The 24,749-nt window shown below is 36.2% G+C and overlaps 1 protein-coding gene and 1 long non-coding RNA gene across 3 annotated transcripts in view; one reads left to right on the forward strand and one right to left on the reverse strand.

Moving 5' to 3' along the window:
* SPATA17 (spermatogenesis associated 17) overlaps positions 1 to 24,749 on the forward strand; it is a 240,353-nt gene that overhangs the window by 142,944 nt on the left and 72,660 nt on the right. For both annotated transcript variants that reach the window (NM_001375655.1, NM_138796.4), the window contains exons 7-8: positions 47 to 250; positions 7,887 to 8,035. In NM_001375655.1, coding sequence (NP_001362584.1) covers positions 47 to 250; positions 7,887 to 8,035 — 353 coding nt within the window. The remainder of the gene's footprint in view (positions 1 to 46; positions 251 to 7,886; positions 8,036 to 24,749) is intronic.
* SPATA17-AS1 (SPATA17 antisense RNA 1) lies at positions 6,911 to 10,833 on the reverse strand. Its single transcript, NR_125784.1, has 3 exons — positions 10,675 to 10,833; positions 7,838 to 8,012; positions 6,911 to 6,996 (listed from the first exon to the last, which is right to left on the reverse strand). It is a non-coding gene; the product is annotated as an SPATA17 antisense RNA 1 (long non-coding RNA).

Genomic DNA, 24,749 nt, shown 5'->3' on the forward strand with positions numbered 1-24,749 from the left:
ATCTGAAAATTAAAGAAAAAATCAAAATTGCTTTCTTCTTCTTTAGATTCCAGGAATATACAATTCACCCTTCAGAAAAGAGCCTGATCCATGGGAGCTGCAATTACAGAAGGCAAAGCCTTTAACACACCGAAGACCTAAAGTTAAGCAGAAGGACTCCACCAGCCTTACTGATTGGCTAGCTTGTACAAGCGCCCGTTCTTTTCCTCGGTCTGAAATTCTACCACCTATTAATAGAAAGCAATGTCAGGTACTAGTTTGCTGTATAAGAATTCTGTCATTAATTTTATTCTTGCTATTTTTTGCACTTTTTATATAACACTATCTTAATTTAACCATTTTTAATTATATAGTTTAGTGGGATTAAGTACATTCATATTTTTGTGCAATCAGCTGTCGCTAGAACTCTTTTCATCTTGGAGAATTAAAACTATACCCACTAAACAACTCTCCATTTCCCTTTGCCCCATCCCCTGACATGACTTGTTTCACTTAGCACGATGTTCTTAAAGTTCATCTATGTTGCAGAATATGTCCGAATTTCCTTCTTTCTTAAGGCTGAATAATATTCTATTTTATGTACATACCACATTTTGTTTATCCATTTATCTGCATTTGGCATTTGAGTTGCGACCACACTTTATGTATTGTGAATAATGCTGCTGTGAACATGGGTGTAAAAGATCTTCTTGAGACTGTTTTCATTTCTTTTAAGAATATACTCAGAAGTGGAATTGCCAGATTATATGGTAATTATATTTTTAATTATTTGAGAAACTGCCATACTGTTTCTCATAGCATCTATACACATTTTCCATTCCCATCAACAGGGCACAAGGGTTCCAATTTCTCCACATTCTTGTTGCAGTTTTGATTTGCATTTTTCTAATTGTTAGCGATGTTGAGAATCTTTTTATGTGCCTATTGGCCATTTGTGTGTCTTCTTTGAAGAAATGTCTATTCTAAGTCCTTTGCCCATTTTTGAATTGGGCTGTTTTTTGATGTTGAGTTTTAGGAGTTCTCTATATATTCTGGGTATTCATGCCTTATCAGATACATGGTTTGCAAATATTTTCTCCCATTCTATGGGCTCCTTCTCTACTCTGTTACAGTGTCTTGCTTTTTAAAAATACAGGGCTGGGCACAGTGGTTCACGCCTGTAATTCCAGCACTTTGGGAGGCCAAGGCGGACAGATCACAAGGTCAAGAGATCAAGACCATCCTGGACAACATGGTGAAACCCCATCTCTACTAAAAATACAAAAATTAGCTGGACATGGTGGTGCACCCTGTGGTCCCAGCTACTCGGGAGGCTGAGGCAGGAGAATCACTTGAACTCGGGAGGCGGAGGTTGCAGTGAGCCGAGATCGTGCCACTGCCCTCCAGCCTGGCGACCGATCTATATATATATATATAGAGAGAGTCTATAATCTATCTATCTATCTATATATATATAGATTATTGTTTTGTTCCATTTTTTTGACCAGAGGAAAATTATTTTTTGCAACTCTAATTTTAAATAATAAACATAAAGTAATTTACAAATATATACCAAAGAAGTGAACAAACACTTCTTTGGCATTAAATCTTGTTATATTGAATAAGAAGTTAAAACATGGATTATTTCCTAGAATCTAGATTTTTTATGTAAAAATATTGTTATACCACTACTTGTTATAACCTGTTGTTGCTGGGAATACATGTATTATCAATTTTATTGAATTTAACCTCTCATTTGATGCTATATGTCTTTATATGCCATTTTAAACAAAACTTGGGTTTGAGTAATTTTACAAATGTAAATTTGAGAATTTGAGACAGCTCAAAACAAAGCAATACTCATAGTAGAGATGGGAAATCTTCCCTATAACTAGATTGTAGTACAACAGGTTTGGCAAATGACTTCCTGAGGCTAAAGGGTAGAGTGGGGTGGGGTGAATGATGATTGTCACCATCCTAAAAGTCCCGGAGAGCCACAGGTCTATCATCCCAATCAATAATTAAGCTGCCACCATGTAGTATCAACTACCTTGTGTTAGATTTGGCTCACACAATTAAACTCCCAGAACTCCTGACCATTAACTCCCTGAATAGGCGTGCCCTTGTGTATCTATATTGCTGTATAATAAATTACTCCAAAATCTAATGGGTTAAACCAACATACATTTGTTACTTCACAGTTTCTATGGGTTTGCCATTCTAGGTACAGCCTTTGGTGAGTTCCTCTTACTCAAGTTCTCTCATGATGTTGTAGTCCAGATGTCAGCCAGGTGAGGCACAGTGGCTCATGCCTATAATCCCAGCACTTTGGGAGGGTGAGGTGGGAGGATCACTTGAGCCCAGGAGTTCACAACCAGCCTGGGCAACATAGCGAGAGCCTGTCTCTATTAAAAAAAAAAAAAAAAAAAAGATGTCAACCATGACCGTGATCTCATATGAAGGCTCAGACGGAGGGTGGGGATAGGAGGGCAGTGAGATCCTCTTGGTTGGTTCCCTCACTCACATGGTTGGGTGTTGTCATGCCTCAGCCCCTCCTCACATTGGCATCTTCACAGAGCTGCCTCACAACATGGTAACTCATTTCCCTCTGGGTGAGTGATCCTAGGGAGAGAGAGAGACAGCTTTCAAAACAGAAGCCACAGGCTTATAAAACTAATGCTAGAAGTGACATCCCATCACTTCTGCCATGTTCGAAATGAGTAAGTCTATTTTATATTCAAGGGCAAAAGACTACCCGACGGTGTGGATACCAGGAGGCAGGGGCCCTTGGGAGTCATCCTAGAGCCTGCCTTTTATACCCTCAACCATTGAATCATCCTTGCAATAAGACAGCCCTGCATTCTATTTCATTAAAAATCTCCCACTTTACTGTAATTATTTGTGATATATGTTGTGTTTCCATTCTCTATAATTACGTCCTTAATTCCCATTATTTGTATCTTTTTTTTTACTCTCTCAAAACTACTAACTGATAATTAATACTATTAACTGATGGTTTATACTGTCTTAGAGAAAGAGCTATAAAATATAATTGAAAATCTATAGTCAGTTTCCCCCTTGGACCGCTTTCTCCTTTTCTTCATCTCTGATTCAGTTCCTGTGATATTCTATTTATATCCGTATTCTTTTTTTGAGATGGTGTCTCGCTGTGTTGCCCATGCTGGAGTGCAGTGGAGGGATCTCAGCACACTACCACTTCTGCCTCCCTGGTTCAAGCGATTCTCCTGCCTCAGCCTCCCAAGTAGCTGGTATTACAGGCACCTGCCACCATGCCCTGCTAAGTTTTGTATTTTTAGTAGATATAGGGTTTCACCATGTTGGCCAGGCCGGTCTCCAACTCCTGACCTCAGGTGATCTGCCTGTCTCGGCCTCCTAAAGTGCTGGGATTACAGGAATAAGCCATCACGCCAGGCCCATGTATCAGCATTCTCAATTACCTAGTAAACTAATCCATTTATCTGAATCTGATCATTCGTTCCTTTACTAAACTGGAGTGACAAGCATAGTGGAGTGAGCAAGGGGACAAAAGAGAGATAGTAGGAAAATTTTCAGTTTTTTAGGGGGATATGTCTTCAGAGTATGGTTTCATTATTCCTTTTTAAATAAGAGTTATATCAATATTCTAGTGAAAGCATTTAAAATAGTTTTAAATGTAAATATAAAATGAATTTTATATTATGAATAATTGAATTTTTGCTATTTTGAATTATGTACATTACTATTTTTCTATTAGTGTAAGTAATCATCACATTGCATATATAACATATAACTTTGCATCAACAAGCAATTAAATTTATTAATTATTCTATCAAGAAAATAATAACTCCAGCATTTCCACTGCATGTATATTAAGTGTTCAGTGTGTTAAATGTATTAACTACTCAAAAGCAGTTAAGGTAGATGTAACATTGCATATTTAAATTTTTAATAATCCACACTGCTGGTGGGCGCGGTGGCTCACACCTGTAATCCCAGCACTTTGGGTGGATTACAGGCTGGAGTGGGTGGATCACCTACGAGGTCAGGAGTTCGAGACCAGACTGGCCAACATGGTGAAACCCTGCCTCTACTAAAAATACAAAAATTAGCCGGGCATGGTGGCACATGCCTGTAATCCCAGCTATTTGGGAGGCTGAGGCAGGAGAATCGCTTGAACCTGGGAGGTGGAGGTTGCAGTGAGCCGAGATCACACCATTGCACTCCAGCCTGGGTGAGAGAGCAAGACTCCATCCCAAAAAATAATAATAATAATAAACCACGTTGCATGCTATATTCATTTGTATAGCTATTGGTACTACATGGAATTCATAGAGTAATTTTGCATACAACTTTTTAGGAAATGTGAAAATTACATGGCATGAATAAAATAAGGGCATGTAAATATTTCTGAGCTGGAAACACCATGAAGGTCATCTGAACCAAACTACCACACTATACAATATTCACAACATTAACCATTAAACATGTAATATTATGGTATAGGTGTTTTATAATGTTATTACATTTGCTTTATTGCCCTGCTTTTAATATACTTTTAATGATGTGTCTTCTTCTACACTTGTCAGTGTTCATTCTTCATCTCTGTTTCTCAATACAACCTCTGTACAACCATCTTCATTCCCTACATGGCTTTCTTCCTCCATACCATTCTATGTACACATATACCTATATACATAAGTGTATTTAGTATGTATGGAATGCATAGGCAGAAGGTACATATATAGAAATAATGTATGGATGATGTATAGGTATATGGAAAATATATATGTATAAATGGTATATCAGCCCATATGGAAGATATATATATATATGGTATAAGTATAAAAATAGAAAAATACACACATTTGTAAAACAACTTGTGTGTGTGTGTGTGTGTGTGTGTGTGTCTGTGTATGGAGAGAGAGAAATATTTATGTTTATATAGAGAATATATAAACACATGGCAGAATTAAAAAATATGTATTTATATATGTATATATGTATACTTACATATATATACACACATATACTCCTGAATTACATTTATCTAGCATGCTACAAAATAATGATCCCTACTAATCTATTCTCTTTTCTTCGTTCTCTCTTTTTTATTCTCTTCTCTTCTATTATTTATTTTCTCTTTCAGTGTTTTTTCTTTCCTTCTTCTTCTGTCTCCTTCCTTCCCTATTTTAAACTCCTCCTCCTTTTCCTCTGGCCATGTCATCCCCACTGCCCTATTCTTCATTCTCTTGTTTCCTTCCTTCTCAGTCTTCCTTCTGTCATCTTTTCTTAACACCTTCTCCTCTCTTTACTTCCTTTGCCTCTTTTCTTCACCATTCTTCTTTTTTCTTTTCTCTTTCCCTTCTTCCTTTTTTTTTCCCAAAATGGGATTGTTTTACATTTTGTTTTGTTTGTTTGTTTTTTCTGAGCCATATTCCTGTGTGTTACCAATAATAAAAAAGTATATACCTCATTGGTGACATTTAAGATTATGCCCAAATGATAATATTTGTACTCTAATCAGAGTAGCTTTACTTGCCAGGTGAATTTTTTAAACATCTAGGACAATTTTATGGTTTTAATAATGGCTTAAACATATAAAATGACTATAAATAACATGAATTATGGAAAATACAGCAGAACATAAATATATTTGACTCTCCTAACCAGGGCTTAGGTGGAGGCAATGTAAACTAAACATTAAAAAACCATAGCTAAGAGTCCAGAAATACCTGTAGTGTCAAGTTAAGTCTTGGATGATCTAGGTATTCTAGGGATTAATTGGAAATAAGTACAATCAGCAGATCTAAAGTTTGATAGGTGAAAGATACACATAGATATATAGATATATAAATATAGATATATATTTACAAAACCTGGGTTCCCATGTCACTCTAGGCATGACTGGGATAGATGATTGCCTGATATCCAAAAAAGGCAGTTTTTCAAAAGAAATATAAATCAACAAAAATTTGACGTAAGAGAAACTTGATAGCTGGTGTCAAGTTCACTAACCAAGGAGCTGGAAGACTATTGAGCTCAAAGACAAGATGCTAATTGTCTGAGGTATAAATGTATGTACCAGGCATTGCAAAGACATAGGGGCATGGACATGACTGCACAAAAGTCAGGGATCATGAAGGTGGGAGTGAACCCAAAAGGAAGACTGAGTTTACTTTCATTCTAATCCTAAGCAGGGCTTCTTCTCTTTCATTTTGTAGTCTCATTGGAACTAATAAGTTCCAGAACAACAGTAGAGTAAGCCTACAAGTAGATATGTGTTATGTTTGCTTATCAACAAAGGTTAGAAGGCATAACATGGCCACCAAGAAGACCATTGCTCCATGTGAATGCTGGTCTCTTCAAAGTCATAGCCTTGGGCCATTGTGTATTTCTTTGATGCTACTATTGCTCAAAACCTTTTAAAAACTCTTCTTGAAACTAATAATTATGATGGTAATAACAATAACAATGTAGTGGGAACCATTTTGAGTGTTTACTGTGTTCTAGGTACATGGTAAGGGTGTCACATTATCGTACACATCTTAAGAGAAATTCTGTGATGTAGTTATTCCATTTTACAAATGATGAACATCGGCATAGAGAAATACTTTGCTCCTTGTCATAAAACCAAATATTAATTTTTTAAGTCATAGACTCTGTCAAAGTATAAGAATAAGAATAAGAAAAAAAAAAGAAGTCCCATTTGATTTCTTAATAGTGGACTTGGAATCATGTTACTGTATCTTTAAAAAGTAAAATTCCAATAGAAATCCATTAACTACTTTCAAATATAGCAATCCTCCTGTCCAGCTGTGAAAAGTACTAGATGATACTTATTTGCCATTTGTGTTATTTACGGTCCATGACTTTTATGGTAACTGGTTCCTATTATTGGTTTCTATTAATGTAAAGCATAAGTGAACATAAATGAGGCGTGAATCATTTCTTTTTATTAGCCCCACAGTCTTCACTCAGTGCTTGCAGTAACTCCAGCTGTGTCTTGTTAGTGATAACCTATTTAAAGAAGATATTTTTAAGAATAAGGAATATGATTAGAAATCTTTGTCCATTTAATATTACTTCTCTCCTATACGACAGTGATGAAAAAAACCAATATGCAATTAATGGCACAGCAAAATCTTGAGCTGCCTTTGATTTGTATTGTGCCTAATACGATACTAATTAGACAACCAGTGGATTTTAGTAACTAGTATAAATAACAACTAACTTGAAAGCAGGATATGTTGTAAGTTACTTTTCACAGTGCAGCTGTGGACTTTCCTCTGCTAAGTATTTGTGTCATCAAAAGGTTGCTATTGGTATCAGAGTAATTGAACAATAGAGTTTAGAATTTTAAATAAATAACATTTAAAATAAATAAAAGTTATGGTTCTTCTGTGTTTAGGAGGCTGCCTATTAAGTGTGACATTTGAAATTCACCAAAAAATTTTAACTTAATGAAAAAACAAATGCTCTCCTATTTCTATTTATAGAAGGGCTGTTGGAAAGCTATGCTTAGAATTTTTTCCTAATATTTGTATTTACTCAAAAAGGGAGACAATCCTTTTTTTAATTATACTGAACAAAATGTGCTTTGTAAAATTAGAAAACAAAGCAACCTATAACAAGTTTATCAGTTATAACATGAAGATCTTTTGATGTAAGTGGGGAAACTTCTGTTTAATTTTAAAGTTTTTTAATGTAATCAATTTTACTTGAGAGAACATTGCTTGAAAATAAGTGATATTATGTCATGCATATTCTAACTCAGCGAAGAACAAATGGTGTTTTAAAAATAACTTAGTAAACCTGCTATACTTTGTAGATGTTCACTAGCCTTGGTCATCAGTAATACCTCAAAAAAATCTTCCATATAAAATATGTTCCTCATCCTGTCTTGTCAGGGGCCCTTCCGAGATATCACCGAAGTATTAGAACAACGCTACAGGCCTTTGGAGCCAACGTTGCGGGTGGCAGAACCAATCGATGAGTTAAAGTTGGCCAGAGAGGAGCTCAGAAGAGAGGAATGGCTGCAAAATGTAAATGACAATATGTGAGTTCTTAGCTTAACAAAAATAGCTGTGACATATTTGGTGCCTTAAATTTTCTAATTTTTTTATTTTCTAATACTGTAAAAAATCTTTTATTTGTGAGAAAAGGTAAAGCCACCCCTGACCTGTTCCAAAGCAATAATTTTTCAGCATGCAAATGATTTAAATGAGGTCAGTATTGATGGCAAAAACTCTTTTGACAACTCAAAAGACAAAAAAAAGATCGGCATTTTGAGGATAAATGATCACTATCTATGTATCTGTGAAGATAATTTTCTTAATTATCTATAGTGAAAGCATACATATTTATGAAACGCCTAAAATAAGATCCAGTAAGATGGAAGAAACATTTTTCTTAACGTGGACTAAATATCATTTTGATCTATTGACATAACATTGTAGTTTTAATAAGTCAGATATAATGAAAGAAGTTAGCTTCTTTATGACTGAGGAAGATGACTGAAAAAGATGAAGAATCATTTAATAGCATATGTAATTTTAAATTTTTTTTAGCATCATGGATTTGGGTCTTAATTCAGACATCTTTCTCTCAGGCACTTTCTCTCTCTTAAGACACTTTGTCATCAATAGAGTCATAGATAACTTATAAATAGACCATTTCAAATCTAAAATGGCTTTATTTTTATGATTGTCATTATTCTGTAATGTCTCACAATTATCTTTGCAATGTATCTTATAATGTATTTTAATATTATTTATATGCTAAGTAAGACATTATTACATTATAATACTAAATATTAATGATAATATTGGTATACTATAAATTATACAAAATATAAAATTATAATCATTTATTGCATTTACATAATCATGTGCTAATTGTTACATAATAATTTATATGATAATTATAAAATATTTTAAAAGTGTGTTTTGATATAGAAGGAAATTAGAATTACCTCTTATCCATTTTAGTGGATTTTGGATTATTTTAACAGTTATAAGTTATATATACATGTACACATAAAATATGTTATTTGAATTATACCTTTACACAAACATATCAAAGACAAAATTGGCAGGCATCTCAAGTAATTTTTATAAAGTTTTTCACTTTATAGCAATTACTTGAAGTGAAATAATTAGCTGTAGAGTGTTTAGCAGATTCTTTCAATAATTGATTGGCTTAACCCAACATATGATGAGTAAGAAAATAAGGAACTTTTTTTCCAATTAGTTTTGAGGAGGTAGATTCATTTTACCACACATATCGTAGAAGATTAAAGCTTCTCAGACTTAGCCAAGCAAAATATAAAATTTAGTGATGATTATCTAAAGAGTTATATTACTCAGAATTCTTTTCCTATTTCCAATGATGCAAAGGTTTACAAAATAGCATGACTAATTGCTCAAACAAATAATTGAGATGATTATTGATTATCTGATTGATATTTCTACAGAAATCATTGTATATTAAACATACTGTGATATCATTTCTTACTATTTTCCTTAGTAAGCCTAGAAAGATCAGCTATCAATGTTATCCCCAAAGAAAGTTGCTCGATTTGTATTTTCCATGGAATACTTGTACATATCTTCAACTTCCACAGTGTTGCTGATGACCCTTTGCTCTGAGGCTTTCCGAGATTGCAAAGTCTTTCTAAGATTTTCAACCAATCAGAAAAAAACCAAGTTGCAGATGCTAAAAAAAATTTCTTATAGATTCAAATCTATTATTTTTTTTTTGCAACTAGGCTAAGTAATTGGTCTTTAACCTAAGGATAATTCCATTATTAGAATTGAAACACTGATTTTTTTTCATAGCTTCTTCTGAACCATTTTGCTTTTTGTATACTGGTTAATGCATTATTTTATCCTATGTGACAAAAGAAATGTTAGAAATATAGGTTTTATATCATTGCAGATAATAATTCCGTGAAGTATAGTCCTGTCACAAAGATTCATGGTTTGTTAATGCAGAGGGTCCTTTTACCACAAAACCAACTTTACCTATAAGGAGTTAAAAGTAGTATATCAGGAACCTGCTATCTAGACCTAGAAAGGTACAGCTTTTTATTTCTAATGTTAAGGACTCAAAGGGTAGCATTATATCTGAGAGTTTAATACATTTAGCTCTTTTGTTTTCATATCATTATGAAAATTGCAGTGTGTTATAGTAGAAGTAGTATGAACTTTGAAACTAGAGCTATATGAACTCAAATCTTAGTTCCATTAAACAGCAGTATAATCTTCGGTTAGTAATTTAGCCCACCTGAAACTCTATTTTCCTGTCTGTAAGATGAAGCAGAAATGTTACCTTAAAAGGTTGTAATGAGGATTGATAGAGAAAATGAGTATAAAGTGTCAGGAACATAGTAGGGTCTTAATAAAAGAGAATTATTAACATGCTTTGTATTACTACAAATGTAATTCTGCATTTAAGACATCAAAAAAGTTGTAAGAAATCAGAGATTCCAAAGATGGGCTGGATTTTATCCCCTAGCCTGGAGAACCAGAAGTTGAGGAGGACAATGAGCACAGCTCTGCCTACACCACAGCATCCTAACCTCGTTAAAGGCCTCTCTTTGTGCATCTAAAAGACAATTTTTCTAAGTGTATTTGTTTGCTAGGGCTGCCATAGCAAAGTACCACAAACGGATGGCTTAAAAACATAGAAATGTACTGTATCACAATTTTGGAGGCTAGAAGTCCAAGATGGAGGGGTCAGCGGAGTTGGTTCCTTCTCTGTGAGAAAGAATCTCTTCATGCCTCTTCATTAACTTCTGGTGGTTTGCTATTAATCTTTATGTTTTTCAGTTTCTAGAAGCATTCCTCTGATCTCTGCCTTCCTCACGTGGTGTTCTCCCAATGTCTATGTCTGTGTCCAAATTTTTCTTTGCTATAGGGACACCATACATATTAGAGTAGGTGCTTACCCTACTCCAGTATGACCTCATCTTCATTTGTTACATCTGCAGTGACCCTGTATTAGTCCGTTCTCACACTGCTATGAAGAGCTACCTGAGACTGGGTAATTTATGAAGAAAAGCGGTTTAATTGACTCACAGTTCCAAACGCTGTACAGGAAGCATGGCTAGGAGACTTCAGGAAACTTACAGTCATGGTGGAAGGGTGAAGAGGAAGCAAGCACATCTTCACATCGTGGCAGGAGACAGAGAGCAAAGGGGGAAGTGCCACACTTTTAAACAACCAGATCTCATGAGAACTCACTCACTATCATGAGAACAGCAAGGCAAAAATCTGCCCGCATGATCCAATCACCTCCCACCAGATCCCTCCACCAACAATGGGAATTATAACTCAACATGAGATTTGGGTGCAAACACAGAGTCAAACTATATCAGACCCTATTTCAAAATAAGGTAACATGTTGAGGTACTGGGTGTTAGGAATTCAGCATATAAATTTTGAGAGAACACAATTCATAGCATTGCATTCCTAGTTATTAGGAATGACAAAATGCTTCTTAATAATCACAGGCTGGTAGGTTATAGCTGTTAGTCACATATCTTCTTTAAAATAAACATAGCAAATAGGACAATAATAATAAAGACATGGAAAATAGATTACGGAAGTTTTTTTGGAAGTCATTTTAAAGCTTTCTTTGTTCTTGTTTTTAAAGGAACTCATTCAATTTTCTCATGCCATCTCAAAGAAAATTATTTCCCTCACTCATATGTCTATCCTTATGAAGCCAGGAAGCCAAATAAGCAATTAATAAATAATTATGAAGGAACCTTTATATGGGAAGGTCTCATCTAGATATTGTGAGAAATAAAAAGGATTATTTATTGATTCAACAGATGTTTACATGTCAGGAATAGTTCCAAGCTCTAGGGACATAGTGGTGAATAAATCAGACATAGCCTCTACTCTCGTGAAACTTATATAGCTGAAACTAACCAGGAAACCTAACAAAATTTTTAGTAACATTTACCAAGTACTTGATAAATGGTCAAGTGTGTGTAAGAGACAATGTATATATTTTTAAATGTCGAGTTTTCTCTGGTCTCTGATAATCTAGGAAAGCGTTCTTGACAGATAAGGAACTGAGTTGGATCCTGCAAAAGATGATTGAGATTTTGATAGAGGAAAGAAGAAAATAGATAAAAGTAGGCTGATGATGTGAAAAGGAAAACGATGGTAGGAAAAGTTGACAGAACAATGACAAGACCAATTTGACAGGCTACTATTTATGTTAGAGAGCAGGAGAAAGAAAAATTGCAAAAAAGTTCAAGACCAAGTAGTTGGTGGTTTATCCTATAGGTAATGGAAAATTATTTATTGTTTTCTTAGAGAAAGTGGATGGTATAAAAAGAATATAAATTTGATTGTGAGACAAATGTATTTCAGAAGAATATGATAGATGCAGTGAAACCCATTAGGATAAATATTGCAGAAACTTTGGTAATAGGTTAGAACTAAAATGATAGAAGGATTTGATATTCTCTTTCTTCTTCTTCTTCTTCTTCTTCTTCTTCTTCTTCTTCTTCTTCTTCTTCTTCTTCTTCTTCCTCTGTATAATCTTTGAATGGATGCTTCTACTTGAAAGATTTTAACTACCACCTCTATGCCAATGATTTCCATTTTAAATCTGTACAATCTTGATCCTACATTTCAGGTTTACATTTTCAACTGCCATCTTTGTTTGTATCTCCACCAGATGTCCTAAACGCAGTATATAACACACTTTCCTGCATCTTTTCTTGAGTGTGAATTGCATCACCAACTATCTGCACAAGCTAGAGACTTGTGAGTTACCTTCTCCTCCAGCATCATCCATATCCTATGAGTCCTCAAGTCCTGTTTATTCTACCTTTTAAGTTTTTCTCAAATTCAGCCTCTCTTCCCCTTTATACTATCACTGTCTTAATTTAGGCACCTTAAAATTCCTTAACTTTAATTGCCATAAAATCCCTTCAACCTGGTCTACCTAGTCTTACTCTCACTCAGTGCATTTTACCAGACAAGCACTAAAGAGATTCGATTATGCGATTATTATTCAGCTAAAATGCCTTTCAATGGCTTTTTATTGCCTCTAGGATAAAGTTTAATTTCTTATTTCGAGACACAGTTTCCTCAGGATCTGATCCAAGCTTATTTCTCTAGCTAATTTTTGTCATATTCTGTAAAGAACTTTGTGCTCCAGAGATACGGAGCTGTTTTCATTCTTCTGTATGTCCCTGGTTCTCTCTTGTTTCTGTTAAAAATTTTCTACTTCCTTTGATTTATGAATCTCCTCAAATCCATTTAAAAAAATAAAGAAGAATTTTTGTTTACCTTTTTAAACATTAAAACTACAACACATATTTATTGTAAAAACCTTAAACACTATTAACTGATCCTCAGTTATGTTTTCCAGGGGTATCTATTGTCAACCCTTTTTTGTGTATCTGTCCAGGAATTTTTGGTTACATGTGCAATTATTAAACGCTCTTCACTGATCTTCAGTTATGTTTTGCAGAGGTATCTATTGTCAACCCTTTCTTGTGTATCTGTCCAGGAATTTTTGGTTACATGTGCAATTATATGTATATTTATTATTTCCTTATTAAAATAAGACAGAATGTTATATATACTGTACTTCTTATTTATGGGATATGGTGATCACAGAGAATTTTAGGCTTTAAAATTTCAGAGGGGAACATTTCAAGGAATATTTCCAAACATGAAATGGGACCATGAAAGTTGCTTAGATGAAATGGGGAAAAATGTTATTAACAGGTGGAGCAAAAGGGAGGCCATAATGGTACCAGAGCTATTCAATGTTTAATTTACCCATCAAGACAGCAGAAATGGAATGGAGTCGACAATCATAAATCAGATGATATAGGCTATGATATGGGCTTCACTAAGGTATTATGAGAGGTGTGCTATGATATGGGCTTCACTAAGGTATTATGAGAGGTGTAAAAGTCCTATACATTGATATCTTCTGTTAATTGTAAACATTCTGGCTTAATACAGGAGACTATAATTATATCCAAAATACAATAGGTTTAGGATATTGCAATAGAAATGAGAACCAATTAGTTTCAATTAATTTTCTGTTAGGCATAATAATGCTTCCCCAATCCCTATTGCCCTGCCAAAGAGTCTACATGTCCTAATCCTCGCAACCTGTGATTGTTACCTTATATAATAAAAAGGTCTTTGCAGATTTGATTAAATTAGGGACTTTTAGGTGGGGAGATTATCCTAGATTATCAGAGTGCGGCCAGTTTTGTAATTCAAAGGTCCTTAAAAATGGAAGAGGGAGGCAGAAAGAAATTTGACTACATGAAAGGAGGTCAGAGTGATGCAATGTGAGGAGGGTTCAATTTACCTTTCCTAGCTTTAAAGATGGGGCATGAGCACCACGTCAAGGAATGTAGGCTGCCTCTAGAAGTCACAAAAGGCGAGGAAATTGATTCTCTTCTAGATCCTCTAGAAGGAACGAAGTCCTGCCACACCTTGATTTTAGCCCAGTAAGACCTATTTTGCACTTCTGACCTCAAGAATGATAAGTTAATAATATTGTTTAAGCCACCACCAATTTTGTGGTGATTTGTTATAACAGCAAAAGAAAATAAATGCAAGTGTTCTTCCTAAAGGTTTTCAAATCAAGAAGCTACCTTGCTAGGTCAGACTTTGGTGTTTAGATTAATTATAATCCTGAGCTAAATTTGAAGGAACTCCTCAAATCCCTAGGGATTCAAGAGTCTTCCACAAGTTTAAGGTATAGACATCGAGGATTTAAAAAAATGTAACAGTGACTGGAGTTTCCCTATGAAGAGGAGTTCATGATTAAAGTATATTGTAGCTGTATTTTAACTTATATAGGCTTTCATTTAAGAAACTGTATAGACAGCTCAACAGCTGTCTCTACATCTTTTAGAAAAACAAAAAAGTATTAATTTACTGATAGTTATTCAGAGTAGGTGAAATGAGAGACATCCCATAAACATTTAGTAGCATAGCAGAACTAATAACTCTATTTCTTGAGCTCCTCCACTTGCTGGAACTAATAGCTATGAATCTAATGTGCCTTCATTTCTCTCAAATTTGCAACCTAGCTTAGATAGGGGCCTTGGTAAATATTGGATTTGGTAATATTATAAAACCGAAATGGGGTCCATTCACCCACCACAGTAAAACTCAGAGGTTTTTGCAGTGACAGAAAGGAAGGTGTTTATTGCAGGGCGCCAAGCAAAAAGATTCAAGGAAGCTCATGCTTAAGACCCAACCTCCCCAGTGGCCTGCAGGTAAGAGTTTTTAAAGGCAGGAGCAAATTTCAGGAGAGCAGAAGCTACAGGCAAAATCATAAATCAATACATGGAGGTCACACATTAGTTTTGGCCTAAAAGGGTGAGATATCTTGAAGCAGGAGCTTACAGATGGTAGGTAGATTTAAAGATCTTCTGATTGGCAATTGGCTAAGAAAGAGAAACTCTTTTCAAAAATTTGGGATCATGGCTGGGTGTGGTGGCTGACACCTGTGATCCTAGCACTTTGGGAGGCTGAGCCACGTGGATCACTTGAGGTCAGGAGTTCGAGACCAGCCAGGCCAACATAGTGAAAGCCCATCTCTACTAAAAATACAAAAAAATTAGCCAAGTGTGGTGGTGGGCACCTGTAGTCCCAGCTACTCGGGAGGCTGAGGCACAAGAATCGCTTGAATCTGAGAGGCGGAGGTGGCAGTGAGCCCAGATCGCACCACTGCAACTCCAGCCTGGGTGACAGAGCGAGACGCTGTCTCAAAATTTAAAAAAGTAAAATTGGAGGTGAATAAAAAAATGTTAACCGGTTAGGGGGAATGACTTCCCCCAAGCCCCTTACGAAGTAACTTACAACAAAGGGTGATAGTTAAAGTTTAGTCTTCACTTCCCCCTTATCTGGGGTCTAAGTGCCAACAGATCCATTCAGTGAGAGTCTGAGCCCATGAAAGACAACTCGGGGACCTATGGTAAAACGTTATCTTTAGCTCCTACAGGGAAATAAATAGCTCTAGAACAAGTTACTTATTTACTTCTGGGGCTGGAATTTCCCTTGAAGGGACTCGGGATTTTCCTTTATTTCTGTGCTTGGTGTCCACAGACCCCTAAAAAAGGGGGAACCATGCTCCATTGTAGTAAATATCAGTAAAAAGTAAGTAAATTACTCACTTTTATTTTTTTTTTGAGACAGAGTCTTGCTCTGTTGCCCAGGCTGGAGTGCAGTGGCACGATCTCGGCTCACTGCAAGCTCTGCCTCCCGGGTTCACGCCATTCTCCTGCCTCAGCCTCCTGAGTAGCTGGGACTACAGGCGTCCGCCACCGTGCCCGGCTAATTTTTTGTATTTTTAGTAGAGACGGGGTTTCACCGTGGTCTCAATCTCCTGACCTCGTGATCCGCCCGCCTCGGCCTCCCAAAGTGCTGGGATTACAGGCGTGAGCCACCGCGCCCGGCCAAATTACTCACTTTTAAAACTTTAAATATAATTTCTAATTAAGTATGATTTCGTAGACATTACTAAAAGAAAAATGTTGTGGGAAAGGTTAAGAAACAAGATCTAAATAACAGTTTTTAGAAAGGACATTTTACAATGTGGCATACACGGGTAAGCACTGGTTCTATTTATCATTAAAGAATAGTGAAAAGAAAATTTAACATATCTCAAAACTTTTTTGACTTGTGTAGTTTTTTCAGACACTTTAGACCTTTAAAATTTGCATATTTTCTGAACTATTACTGTATTATGATAGAGATTATCATATATTTTCAGATAATGTTTTAACAATTCAACTTTTATTTGTAACTCTTCCATTTATTTTAATTACTAGCACAGTGTGCAACATTTATTAATCAGCAGAGCCTTTTTAAGTTAAAATACTAAATTAGCTAACCCCATTAACACAGAATACTCCAAACAAGCAGTAATAGGAGAGGTAGTTACTGTGCAAATCGTATTATACATGCGGGTGCTCTAGGGCACAGTTAAGCATGATTACCCTCTTTTGATCCAGTATTCCTCTGCCTCTCCCAGCTAATTTCCAGTGGAAATTTACAAAGTGCTGCCTTCATTTTTCCAGCTTAATTTTTCTAATGAAGTTCTGGTACTTTATAACACTGGGGATATAGATAATAAGCCTGTGTATAATTAAGAAGTTCTAGAATTTGTCTACAAAAGAGCCCTGTATTACTTTGGCTGTATAGTGAGAACTGTGCTCTCTTTTTGTCCACTGTTTCTCTGAAAGAAAAAAAAAAGTTTATTTTAAGTAAATGACCACAGAATACTAGAATTCTATTCTTACAGACACCTGCGTCTAAAGAAGCTTAAGATTTTAAAAATCTATACAGTTTGATAATTTGGAATACTTTCAGTGATATGCTTGAGAATATGTACTTTTAGTATATATCATCAGACAAGTCATAAAAAGACAATTTTAATATTTGGACTTTATGTGGTAGAGACATTCATAAGACCAGCACAGTGTTTTAGGCCCTGAGTGAAAGATCAGATAGCTTGCAGTTATCACTCTGTTAGCTATGGAGATGTTTTAGAAATGGGAGTCAATGGGGTCAGAGGCCAGAGTCACTGGGGCCACAGTCCAGGTCAGAGATGAAGAGGACTTGCCATAGAACTGAGACGTTGGTAATGGAGGGTAGAGAAAGGTTGAGAAGCTGCTTTATAGGTAGGATCCTGTAACCAGGGGTGTCCAGTTTTTTGGCTTCCCTGGGCCACACTGGAAGAAGAAGAAGAATTGTCTTGGGCCACACATAAAATACACTAATGATAGCTGATAAACTTTAAAAAAAAATCACAACAAATAATTTTTAAATGTTTGAAGAAAGTTTACAAATTTGTGTTAGGCTGCATGTGGCCCACGGCGCATGGGTTAGACAAGTTTGCTATAAACCCTAAATCAGATTTAGGGGTGAGCCTGATATGGTCTGGATGGTGTGGTCAGAGGCACAGATGCATTTAGGATCACTGTCTCAGAGCTTTCTTACTCGCAAAGAACAAAGATCCATTCAAGGAAACTCAAGAAACTAAGGGGGTGTTTAAAAGATATATTGAGGAATTTTATAGAGATATAAAGACCCAAAGAAAAACTGGACTAAGATGAGTAGGGGGCTGTAAAGACATGGCGTTCTCCTTCTAGTGGCATCTCTTCCTTCCTCTGCACCTTCATCTGCTTCTTTCTACTGACTAGCTTAACTGATGACTTGTAAATCATAAACTTTCTTTCCCATAAATCTTTAGCTTTCACTTAGTTACCACCCAGGCCTAATTCAATATAACCTTCCAGCTCTAGAACCCACAGCTACTTCTGTTTTTCAGTTCAAATTTCTGAGAGAGAATCTGTTTTGCTCAATTTGTGTTAACAAATTTGCTCACATACCCCATAGGCTTGGAACAAAATAGACAATAAATAAGGGTTAAGTTAAAGGTCTATTAACGTACTAATAGACCACGACTGTGGTCTCGGGGAGGGGTGTCCCATTATATCAAATACAGTTTTTTTTGTGAGAGTAGAGCCACAAGCAAGAATCTCCTCAGATTGAGGAGAGCAGAGGCAGGAACGTCCTCTCATGCCCTGACTTGATGGCTTCTGACTTAGGTGACTGGCTAGAGGATGATGTTCTGACTTATCTAAGAAAAAATATATAAGAAGCATTGCAAATTTGATAGCATGGAGGATTTGGATATGAGTTTAATTTGGAGGCAGCTCTATTTGAGGTTCCTCTAGTGTATCAAGGGAAATATCCATAGTGAACATTTGAAAACACTGTTCTTCAGTTAAAGAAAGATATTGTGTATTGAGATAAAGATTTAGAAATCATCAGTTTAGAGGTGATAGTTAAAACCTTGGTGGTGGAATAATCCCTCAGGAGAAACTATATAGAGAGAAGATTACAGATTTCTAGGAATTGCTTTAATGTTAGGGCAGTGGTTTTTGTTTTTTTTTTTTTTTTTGAGACGGAGTCTTGCTCTGTTGCCCAGGCTGGAGTGCAGTGGCACGATCTCGGCTCACTGCAAGCTCCGCCTTCCGGGTTGATGCCATTCTCCCGCCTCAGCCTCCTGAGTAGCCGGGACTAAAGGCACCCACCACCACACCCGGCTAATTTTTTGTACTTTTAGTAGAGACGGGGTTTCACCGTGTTAGCCAGGATGGTCTCGATCTCTTGACCTCGTGATCCGCCCGCCTCGGCCTCCCAAAGTGCTGGGATTACAGGCGTGCGCCACCGTGCCCGGCAGGACAGTTTTAGTCAGGATTGCTTAACTGCATCACCTTGAGGTTTAAAAATATATGCATATGAATTCCCAAGTCTCAATCACAGTTAGTTTGGTTCAGTAGGCATATATATTTGCAAAATATGCCCAGGTGATTCAAATGCACAGTTCTGGTTAAGAGTCATTACTTTCAGATATTGGCAGAATACGAGTCAGTCAAGAAACAGAGACAGCAAGAAAGAGAACCAGGAGCGATTGTGCAAATAAAAGAGGACTGGCTACAAGAAGTGAATGAACAGCTTGATGCAAGTTCAAATTCAGTGAAAACTGAAAAGGAGGCCGGGTGCGGTGGCTCACGCCTGTAATCTCAGCACTTTGGAAGGCCGCGGTTGGCAGATCACGAGGTCAGGAGATCGAGACCATCCTGGCTATCACGGTGAAACCCCGTCTTTACTAAAAAACGCAAAAAATTAGTTGGGTGTGGTGGCGGGCGCCTGTAGTCCCAGCTACTCTGGAGGGTAAGGCAGGAGAATGGCGTGAACCCGGGAGGCGGAGCTTGCAGTGAGCCAAGATCGCGCCACTGCACTCCAGCCTGGGTAACAGAGCGAGACTCCGTCACAAAAAAAAAAAAAAAAGAAAGAAAGAAAAAGAAAGAAAACTAAAAAGGATATCTAGGATTTGGCTATTGGGGAGTCATTCATTAGTAGATTTTACTTTCCCCTGTGACTATCACCTAGTTGTTACTTCTCCTGTATTTTCTTTGGGAATTAACATCACATTAAGCCCTCTATATACTGTAGAATCTATAGTCTTCTGTTTAAAAATCGTTTTGTTACATCTTTGGTACATTCACAATTTATTAAGAATAACTAATGGTGATTTGGTGATCTCATACAAAAGCTTGCACAGTAATTTAAGATTTAATTTATCTTGTCAGGGACCTTAAAATCATTGACGGAGCTACTCACTTTAAAATTCTAAACCAGAGATTGCAAACTAGTAGCTTGTGAGCTGCATATGGCCTCCTGGGTGTGTTGTATTTGGATCCCACAATATTCTAAAAATTAGATAAATTGAAAAGTAATTAAAAATGGCAATTAAATTATTTAAAACTCCAGATTTTACCGCTTATAGCAAAAATCAGGAGATCTAGAAGGAGCAGACTCACAGTCTGACATGGCAACAATTGATTAAAACTTGGACTCTTTGGTTTACATCTGACTCGTTTATGTTACCTGCCTGGCCCTTTAACAGAAAAATAAGAGAGCCTTGTTCTGGACGATAAGCTTCTCAACAACAGAGCCCCTGACTTATGCACTACACTTAGCACAATCGTTCACAAACAGTAAGTGCTAAGAGGTTTTTTAAGATTGAATTTTGACTCTTGAGCTTGAACTAGATTTTGCTTGTTTTAGCCTAACATATCAGATCACAAAAATCATTCTCATTAAAAACAAGTCAAGCCAAAAAATGAAGTCAATTATGATTTCTCTTTGATGTTTATTAATACTACGCTAACAGTCTCAGTAATAGGCTTGTATTTTCTTTTGTTGTTCTTACTATGAACATGATTTTCCAAATTATGTCTCTTAAAAAACTAGTCTTAAGACTAATGTTAATGAGTTTCTTTCAAATAAATTTGGGGAAAAATTACATTGAAAACACTTAAATGGATTTTTGGCACTTACAGGGCTTCTCAGTCTTAAATATACTTTTATTTGATGTGACTATCAAAGAGGGGAAATATAATACAGTATATAGCATTTTGCAAGTGTATTCACTCAACAAATATTGCATGCTGACTATATGCCAGGCACTACATTAGGCATTGAGAACATAGCAGTGAGCAAGACAGACAAAAGTCTCTTTTTTTTTTTTTTTTTTTTTTTTCGAGACAGAGTCTTGCTCTGTCGCCCAGGCTGGGGTGCAGTGGTGTGATCTCGGCTCGCTGCAAACTCCGCCTCTGGCGTTCAATTGATTCTTCTGCCTCAGTCTCCCAAGTAGCTGGGACTGCATGTGCCCACCACTACACCTGGCTAATTTTTGTATTTTTAGTAGAGACAGGGTTTCACCATGTTGGCCAGGCTGGTCTTGCACTCCTGACCTTAGGTGATCCACCCACCTCGGCCTCCCAAAGTGCTGGGATTACAGACATGAGCCACCGCCCCCAGTGACAAAAGTCTATTGACTTCATGGAGCAAATGGCCTAGTTGGCCATGAGTCCCCTCATCTCATCCCCAGACCATAGTTTGGAATACGGTGCTCTGGATATAGTTGTTTGTATTTCTTGACACCTTCTATTTATTTATTTATTTATTTTGAGACAGGGTCTCAGTCTGTCACCCAGGCTGGAGTGCAGTGGCATGATCGTGACTCACGGCAGCTTTGACCTCCAGGCTCAGGTGATCCTCCCACCTCAGCCTCTCTAGTAGCTGAGACTACACCTTCTCACCACCACGCCCAGCTGATTTTTGTATTTTTTGTAGAGATGGGGTTTCACCACGTTGCCGAAGCTGGTCTCAAACTCCTGGGCTCAAGTGATCCACACACCTTGGCCTCCCAAAGTGCTAAGACTACAGGCGTGAGAAGTTTATGTTCTTTAAGTGATTTATATAAGTCCGTAAAATATCTAAGTTCATCATTTTTAGCCATTTTTGAAACTTTGTTAGTTTAAAACATTTGATGTAAATGGCCTAAAAGAAGAGCCTATGTGAATGCTATTTAGTTGCGGCCTTTAACTTTAGTATCTTTTAGCAGAGATTTTTAAAAATATTTTTCACAATCAGAAGAAAATAAAGTGAACTCTGCAAAATATATATCAGAAATTTGTTGCATAGATGTAATGAAATTACTGAGCCAAGGTGATTTGAGATTGTTAATAATAATAATAATAATAAATCCAGGGAAATGTATTCCTCTGAAGCTAAGAAAAATGTAAGGAAAAGGGAAAAATATCTTTCCAGTTAAATTTAGAAGCTTGCAATATAAGCTTACTGTTTAGTTGAACAGATAGTTTTGCCACTTGCATTCTTTATATTTAAACATTACATTTCTGTCTCCACCCTGGGGGGAAGATATTGCTGCCTAAATAGTTCATGAGTTTTAAATTTGTACTATGAATTCTACTCTAAGTATAAAATACTGTGTGTATTAAGCGCTTATAGCTATGGTTTGTCCTCAACCATAAAGGAAGTCTGTCTAATTTCTATTCCAGATTGTTGCTCATTTTATTAATATCTCTTCAACAAAAACTCCACTAATCTATGTTTTGAAATCTTTCTGTTCATACTAATGAGCTATATATTAGGTTTACCTGGACATTTAGGTGGTTAATACATACGGTAAAGATGCTTTTTATTTTTCATGTTGAAGGTAATGAAAAATAGACTGTTATTTATTTGCTGACCTTTTAGTAAAACTCAAACTATTCTGTGTCATAAAGGACAAATATTCAACAACTTATGGCCCTTTTTAATGGGCCATAACATGGTTTGTTTTTCTAGAAGGAGCAAAATTATTCATTATTAACTATACTTACTACAATTGTAAAACATGTCTCATCCTATTTCAAATATTGTTGCCAAATAATTTGTATATTTCCAATTACACGTTCTTTCGAAATGCTTTGCCTTAAAAAAGCTTGTGATTGGTTTATGAGAACCGGGTCATCTGATAATGAGATCAGGCACGAACTGGTTATAACTCAGCCCCTCAGCCCTCAAAACATTAAATTTACTATTTTCTTTCTTTCTTTCTTTTTTTTTTTTTTTTGAGATGGAGTCTCACTCTGTTGCCCAGGCTGCAGTGCAGTAGTGTGATCTCGGCTCAGTGCAGCCTCCACCTCCCGGGTTCAGATGATTCTCCTGCCTTAGCCTCTTGAGTAGCTGGGATTACAGCCCCATACCATCACATCTGGCTATTTTTTATATTTTTAGTAGAGATGAGGTTTTGCCATGTTGTCCAGGCTGGTCTTGAACATCTGAACTCAAGTGATCCACCCACCTCAGCCTCCCAAAGTGCTGGGATTACAGGCATTAGCCACAGCACCCGGCCTAAATTTACTGCTTTCTATATTATAATAATGGTTAAAATATTAGAGTTAAGATTAATTTTTGAGCAGGTGTACTTTTATAACATAAACATTTGCTGTTTGTTGATTCATTTATTAAATTAAATCAATGTCATTTACCCATATTTCCTCTTTACATTCTTGCATCAATTCTTTCCCAACTTTTAAACGTAGGTGTCTTTGCTTGTCAAATCAAGTTTTGTAGAACAGAGTACAGATTCCCTTCCCTTAATACGTCTGGAGTGGAATTTTTCTATTCTTATTTTCTTCATCCCAATTTAAATAACTGTTCTGTTTTGAACATTACTAAGCTCTTACTCCTTGAGACTTCTTTAGAAAGTATTTTAGATAGACCTTTTAAGCAGATATTCTGGGATGACCCCTAGCAGCCCATCCTATATCCCTATTTAGGAGTTCCTGTCCTTCCAGTGTTGTTAATGATTGGCATGAGGAGGCTGCTCATAGACTAACATCTTTATTAATGAAGCTTGTGATCTTTTGAGAATGTGCTAAAATTTTGCTATAAGAACAAAAAGCAATTGACATAATTCCTACTTTATGTAATTTAAAAGATAAAACTATTGATTTTCTAAGAGATTCTTTGTCATTTATTACCCCAGTAGTGCATGCTAAAGAAATAATAGCATCTTACAGTCACTCTTATTAGAAGTAAACTACTACTTGAACGTATGATGTTCAATTACTCAAATATTGCAACAATAAAATTCATAAGACCTTATTTGCTATTCTGTTATCTCATTATATTTTCTTGTCTGTAAAGGATAGGAGGTTTTCAAACTTGAAAAGTAAATAATTTTATACCTACTTTGAGAATAAGAAAAAGTATGTGTTTCTCTTTTCCCACCTGAAAAAGTGTATGTGTCAATAGTCACTTATTGTTTAAGAGTCTTGTATTTATTTTATAATTCATAAATATGAAATCTCTTCCAATAGAAGGTGGAAAATGTCAGACTTCTGTGGGCATCAAATGATCATAAGGCATGTAATTTAGCAACAGAGTTTAGAGAGAGGAATGTGATAATGGGTGTCCACCTTGATCCTCAGTCTTAATCAGCCTTTGTAATACTGTGGCCAAGTCAGCCCTCCAAAGAGAGAGCCAGTGTAGCACCTCAGTGATGGTTACAGGGTGTGACAGGAGTATCTGCAACTGGGATAATATTCTCAGTTGCATGGAGATGCAACATCCATCATAGAGAAGTTAAGTAAGACAATACGAAACTGCTGAAACTTGACCTGTACTGATAGGAGACAATATAAGCACCCTGGCAACAGCATTCTATTTTCTGTCTTTTTTTTTTTTTTTTTCTGAGACGGAGTCTCACTCTGTCGCCTAGGCTGGAGAGCAGTGGCTCGATCTGTAAGCATAAGCACAACTGAATATATATTAAAAACTGGTAAAAGAATATCGTTTTAAAGTAATTGATAATTATGTAAAATTTTACTATAAATC

The sequence above is a fragment of the Homo sapiens genome, chromosome 1, assembly GCF_000001405.40.
Source record: "Homo sapiens chromosome 1, GRCh38.p14 Primary Assembly".
NCBI classification, from domain to species: Eukaryota; Metazoa; Chordata; class Mammalia; order Primates; family Hominidae; genus Homo; species Homo sapiens.